At 37.8% G+C, this 7,169-nt stretch overlaps 1 pseudogene; it reads right to left on the bottom strand.

Annotated features, from left to right (window-relative positions):
* Window positions 665-5,311, bottom strand: HAUS6P3 (HAUS augmin like complex subunit 6 pseudogene 3; annotated as a pseudogene).

The raw sequence follows: 7,169 nt of genomic DNA, 5'->3' as shown, positions 1-7,169 counted from the left end.
GAACTGTCAGTGCTATGTTGAATAAAAGTGGTGGAGCAGGCATCCTTATTTTCTTCTCAATATTACAGAAATGCATTCAGTCTTTCACCATTAAGTATAAAGTTAGCTGTAAGTTATATATATATATTTTTGTTTGTTTGTTTGTTTGTTTTTTGTTGAGATGGAGTCTTGCTCTGTCGCCCAGGCTGGAGAGAGTGGCACGATCTCGGCTCACTGCAACCTCCACCTCCCGGGTTCAAGTGATTCTTGTGCTTCAGTCTCCCAAGTAGATGGGACTACAGGTGTGTGCCACCATGCTCAGATAATTTTTGTCTTTTTAGTAGAGACAGGGTTTGGCCATGTTGTCTAGGCTGGTCTCTAACTCCTGATCTCAAGTGATCCACCCACCTCGGTCTCCCAAAGTGCTGGGACTATAGGCGTGAGTCATAATGCCCGGCCTGTATATGCTTTTTATCAGAATAAGAAGTTCCCCTCCATTTTTAATCTCCAAAAATGATTTTTCAAAAATTATAAATGGATATTGAATTTTGCAAAATTCATTTTGCATCAATTAACACAATTATGTGATTTTTATCCTATAGCTTGTTAATATGATACATGACTTTAATTGATTTTCAAATGTGAACCAATCTTGCATCTCTGGAAGAAATCTTTTTTTTTTTTTTAGTATAAAATATTTATTGAAAACAACAGTATTTAAGACATTTACAGAGAGTCCCATAGAGGATTCTCAAATATTTTAAACTTAGGATGCAGACTGCTATTCACGATGCATAAAGAAAAAGGTGATCTCTAGAGCAACTATGTATCTGCAACATAAAAGAAACATTTACTTCAATACTTTTACATTGAGGAAAACGTCATTAAACGTATTTTAATTTTAGTACACTCACAGTAGGAAGATAATAGTCTGCTTTTACACAGGTCTCCAGAATTCCTGTTTTTCCTTTAGATAAATTTGACTTCATAGTCAAGAGACTCATGGTAAAGAAAAGATATCAAAATACTCATATTTTTGTTTTCAGTTCAATTTCCCCCAAATGTTAACTTCAGCTATTCTTTATTCCACTTGATGACATTTTTCATGTTTAGCAACATTACATGATTGTCCTCTTTAAACATTTAAAATACTTAGAACATTTTAGCATTATCTCAGGTTTCAAGCTGATGTATAAGTCAGTTTATATACCTTTGTATCTTACAAATAGTGAGTAAAACAAAGTACATTCTATATAATGTCTGATATTAATATAATAAGAAATACACTTAGAGTAATAAATTAGCCCTCTTTACCATTTATTCTATGATATAGGAGGCAAACAAAACAATTCCAAAACTTAAATATTGATAAAGATGACACATGGCCTTGGGGTATATGTATGTGTGTGAATACATACTCCCAACACACATTTACATAGGTGTATATGTATTTATGCATGTATGTGTATATTGCTATAACTAGAAAGACCACATGCAACCATAAAAAATATATAATAAAATCAATTCGTGGGATATTAAATGAATAAAAAGATAAACCATAGGAGATTTCAGAGAAGGAGTAGGCACATGGATATAAAAAGCATGGATTAAGACTTCAAGATGGAAGTGAGATTTTTTTCTGAGGCTTAAAAGAGAGCTGTAATTGTGGTAAACTAGTAGAGGAAAGCAAGGTATTCCTGCTTCAGGAAAATTGTAAATCAAGACCTCTAAAGACTCATGCTAACTGAAGCATTTCAGTAAAAAAATGGGAGATTACAGCGGAAGGGGGAGTAGAGGAAATCCATTATAGGGGAACTTACATGCCTTTAAATTTGAACTCTATTTTAGAATTAACAATGAACAATCAATGGAATTTTAGGCAAGGAAGTGACCCAATCGAAACAGTTCCTTAGGATCAAAAGGTAACTATGTAGGAGATATTGGATAGGGAAAAGGCTGAAGGCAAAAAGCTGCAATCACATTGGTTTAGGAGAAGAAAGTGACAGATCTGAGATACTTTTTGTTTATGGTACTGGCATATGAAGAACAGGAAAGAATCAAAAACTTTCAGCCCATCACAGGTATAACTCAACAATGTGAGTTTTACAAATCCAAAATGTCTACAGACATTCTGCTCTTTTGATTCTCAGTAATTAAGGGTTTCCCAGACTTGAGTGGCCAACTTGAGCTTCCCTGTCAGATAGTTACCAATCTCTACCCAAGTATATATGCAACAATGTACCTGCTTCTTAAAAGTACCACAGGGTTAAATGTGAATCTCTATTTCCTAGCAGCAGTTCTCAAACTCTTTCTCGAGCTTAAGAATTACCAGGGAAGCACATTTAACATATAATTAAATGAAATAATACACATTAAGTGTCTAGCAGTGGCTTTGGCACTTCTGCAGATGCTGATATGACAGCATCACATGCTAAGTTAAGATTTTCAGATACTGAGTTTTCTTAAAGCAGACTAAAGCTTTCCCCATAGACCTGCGTAGTCCCTGATTTGTTTTATTAACTAATAAAATAAAACAGCAACTTAGGAGAAGATTTTTTCTTTCTCCTTTTCCATTGCAAAGAAGGTAGTTACATGTGCTTTCTTTTGTCTTTTCTCACAAAAAGATGGGTCTTCACACTGGGACAGGACAAACAACTTAGAGAAAGGCAGCCCAAGATAAATGAAAAGAAATAACTATTAAGCCATCTACTTCCATAAATTTCCCCTCCACCTTCTTTCCTTGCCAGTTTTTTGGGGGCTAGTGGACAAGATTTTGATGGTAGTGAGATGGGGTCTACAAAGGGTATTGTAGGTACTATCACCCTTCCATTGCCTGTTCCATTCCTCCTGGTTCACAGAGGGCAATAGTATGTGTTCAGCTGGATGCTAGACACAAGTCTTTTTCTAGGCAGGAAACCTGAAGGAGTGAGGCAGGAGACTGCAAGTGTGACAAGTTATTTAACCCCAAGTTCAGTTTTCTCAAGTTACTGTGAGGCTATTCTGTAGGGACTGGGGAATTTTGATGGTTGTTCCTTGTTCCTTTCCCCCAACAGGGAGTACCTCACAAAAAACCCCAACAACAAAACAGACTAATGAAAATTTTAATTTATATTTTTGTTAAAATATAAAAGTAGCATTAAATTATCAAAGTCTAAATTAGACTAAATATAAATGTTATACAACCCACTGAATGGATTTATAGTTTGACAGTGTTCCTTGCAAGTGTCTACTCATCTTCCATCTTTTTCCTTTTTTTAAATAATTCTGCCCCAGTCTTCACTTAATCATCACATGCACTTTATTCCATCAAACATCACTTCTCAGGATCATTCTACTTGAAGAATCATTAAGCCTGTTTAGAGCTTTTCCAGTCTTAAAATTTGTCATCTTGACTACACATCTCACGGTACTACTTTTCTCCGTTTTTCTGGTTAGCCAGAATGTTCCATTAAGAAACAATAAAAGGGCCGGGCGCGGTGGCTCACGCCTGTAATCCCAGCACTTTGGGAGGCCGAGGTGGGTGGATCATGAGGTCAGGAGATCGAGACCATCCTGGCTAACAAGGTGAAACCCCGTCTCTACTAAAAATACAAAAAATTAGCCGGGCGCGGTGGCGGGCGCCTGTAGTCCCAGCTACTCGGGAGGCTGAGGCAGGAGAATGGCGTGAACCCGGGAAGCGGACCTTGCAGTGAGCCGAGATTGCGCCACTGCAGTCCGCAGTCCGGCCTGGGCGACAGAGCGAGACTCCGTCTCAAAAAAAAAAAAAAAAAAAAAAAAAAGGAACAATAAAAGTTGTATAATTCTCTAAGATGAAAGATTAATATATTCAATGGCTATTATATTAACCACTTAGTGAACATACAACAAAAACTACTTATCCTTACATTAATTGACTGAAGTTATAACATAAGAAATTAGTCACACTACTACTTTGTCATTCACTTAATGCTTACAAGATTACTCAAGAAATCAAAATGGCTTCCCATTGCTTGACGTTTGTTTTCCAAATACTTCACGTTTCAATCTCATATACCTACAAAGAGAAAAAATCCAAACATACTTTCCTTACCTAAAAATATTAAAGAAGGCTAAAAGGCATTAGGAATTTTTTTAAACCTTGAAAAACAGTGTTACACTTCCAACATGTATTTAAGTTATAATTCAGTTTCTATCCTGTGGCATAGCTTCAATTTAAGTGCATCATAGTTATATTAAATGGGTACGTCTTCATCTTGTCAAGTCAGACGGTGGTTCTTTTGCATCAAGGCTCTTATTCAAAATGTCTTCTTCTTTTAAATTAGGTAGTTCTCCAAGACTACATGCTATTGTGGTTCTCAATCTTTGTTCCACTGGAGAAAACTTAATTAGTGGTGAAAGAGACCGTTTTCTTTCACCGATGGACATGCGTAAAGATGGCTTTATATGCTCAGTATGCAAATCACGGGTGTCCAAAAAGTTAAGCGTATCATCTGTTTGTACATTTTGGGGAGTAGGGCTCAATTCTGGTTTGTGTCTTTCAGGTGTTTGGGAATTCGAGAGTTAAGATTCTTCCCTTTTCTTGGAAAGAGGTTTCTTCAGAGCCTCGTATCTACTGCAAAGAGCCTGTAAATTAAAGTCTGATTCTGGAGTAGTCTGTCTCCCTCCCACAACATCTTCTAGAAGAGTGCCACCATGCATAGGACTATTTGGCTGCAGTTTAAAATTGGCCTCTGAACTACTGGAACTATTAAAACTTAGGTGACCAACTTCTTCCGGAAGAGTTTCGTGTAATATGCCAAAATCATTATCTTTAAAACTCTTAGAACTAATTCCACTTGATATCTGAAAAGAATTCCACAACATAGTTTTATTTGTGGAAGGTTTGTTACAAGAAACTTCTAAGTGGTCCAATATTTTCATAAACTCCTCTTCACTGCCACCCATCACATCTATCCTATTGCCGACAGCAGGGGAGAATGTCTCCATTCGGCTAGTTTCTGAAAGCTTGGTGAAGGCTAAACATTCCAAATCTTGCTTGCAAATTACTTTCTTATTTAACAAATCTGACTGATTTTGTGTTGGTGGTTCATCTATGTGACTGGTCAGCACGTTTCTGAGGCACACACTCGCAATCTGAAATAACTTTCTCTTCAGTCGAATGAGACTGGCCAAAATCTGATAGAGTGGTTTCTAAGAGAAAATCAGCCATGCTAAATTCTCTTTGATTGTGCAACACAGGTAATGATTCTGGCAATACTTCTCTATGTTCAGCATCCATTTGAATTGGTTCTTTAGTTCTGTTTTCTTCCATTTCAATAGCTTTTCTCCACGAGCTCCTGATTTCAGTTATCAATTATAACTGAAATTCCCCACATTTACCATGCTTCAATTTGTTTGAGCAACCTCATTTCTCCCGGACACCGGACAAGTGCTCAGGTGCCACTCGTGTGGACACAAAAGGCTGCCACACTTGCCACACTTGTCCTTCACCCTCACTGGTGGAAGGCAACCACTTCACACGAAAAGGCAAAGGGCCCACTGAACTGTTAACACTTTAGCTGTTCATGGATGGCAGAGATAAAAGAACACTGAAACACTCTCTCTGGGGCTTTGGGGGCCATGGGCAACCCCCACCCCCAGATGCTGCCTCGGTGCCTGCACACAGTTTGCTCCTGCTGGCTCCCAAAAGTGCTCTCGTCCTGGCTCCTGCACCCTGTCACCCACAGGCTCTTTCCTGCGAGGGGTGGAGCACAGGAGGTCTGAATGGGTGGAGTTAGCACCTGCCAGTGCTGAAGTGGCTGGTTCCAGTGCTCCTGCACTCCAGTTGTCACCTTGTTTGCTCGCAGGCTCCCTCCCTTCAGGAGTTGAAAACTGCAGGCTGGGCAAAGGAGGCACCCCTGTCATGAGTCTCATGAAGGGGTCAGGGAAATATCCTGCTTCAGTAGGCACTGACACAAAGTGTAGATCAATAGATGTACACTGAGTAAATGTGTAATCTTAAGATAATAATTACCATTTGGCAAGTCCGATAACTTACGTAGGAAGCTGGCTGCCTGTCTTCCCACTCAGGGTAGGCTTGGTTGAGAATAATAGCTTAACTTCAGCTAAAGAAAGATAATGTATAAAAAATAAAACATCCAATAAAATCGATTAGATTAATTTTGTCTCATATTGCTAGCCTTCTGCTCTGCTAAGATAAAACTGTCTCAGGAGGAAAGCTTCCTCAAACCAAGCTCCTCACTGTCTCTACAGAGTAAGGTCACTGACATAAGGACAAAGTTATTTCCACAAATATGAAAAGGCACTTGATCAGCTAGGGAGGCCTGGAATAGACAAACTGATTTTTGACAATGATGCAAACGCAGTTCACGTATGGGTTGCCTTTCCAACAAATGCTGTTGGCGCAACTGGACACCCATAGGAAAGTGAAAAATGAGCCCAGACTGAAGCCCTTACTTCACATGAAAACCTGCTCAACAGGACCATGGAAATAAGCGCAAAATTGAAACTACAAAACTTTTAGAACATATTTGATATTAAGGCTAAGCAAAGTGGTGTTAGACATGACATTAAAAGCATTATCATTAAAAGGAAAATTAATAACCTTATGTAAATTAAACATTTTTTCTCTGAAAGTGACCCTATCACAAGGGTGAAAAGACATACCATAGGCTGAGAGAAAATATTTTCACACACATATATGACAAAGGATCAGTATCTGCAATGTGTATCAGGAATTCTCAAAACTCAACAAGAACACTAAAACAAATGCATTTCAATTAAAACAGTCAAAATATAAATGGAGATTTCACTGAAGAAGGTATACAGATGACAATAAGCACATGTAAAGTATTAAACTTCATTAGCCATTTGGGAAATGCAAATTAAAGCCACAATAAGACATATCAGAATGTGTAAAAATTTAAAAATGGTGATAATATCAAATTCTGGAGGGGAACTGGAAAACTCATACAATGCTGGTGATAAGGTAAATTAATCATACTCAGAAAAAATAGTTAAGCAGTTTCTTAAAAAAACTAAACATGAAACAAATATATAACCTAGAAATTGTGCTGCTGGATATTTATATTAGAAAAATATGAACTTACGCTCACTCAAAAATCTGTATATAAGTGGTCATAACAGCTTTATTTGTAATAGCCAAAACCTGGAAAGAACCCTGGTATCCTTCAATGGGTCAATTGTTAAAC

Source organism: Homo sapiens, chromosome 7 (genome assembly GCF_000001405.40).
Source record: "Homo sapiens chromosome 7, GRCh38.p14 Primary Assembly".
Lineage (NCBI taxonomy): Eukaryota > Metazoa > Chordata > Mammalia > Primates > Hominidae > Homo > Homo sapiens.
Note: the sequence above shows the minus strand (reverse complement) of the source record. Positions and strands in the feature narration are given on the sequence as shown.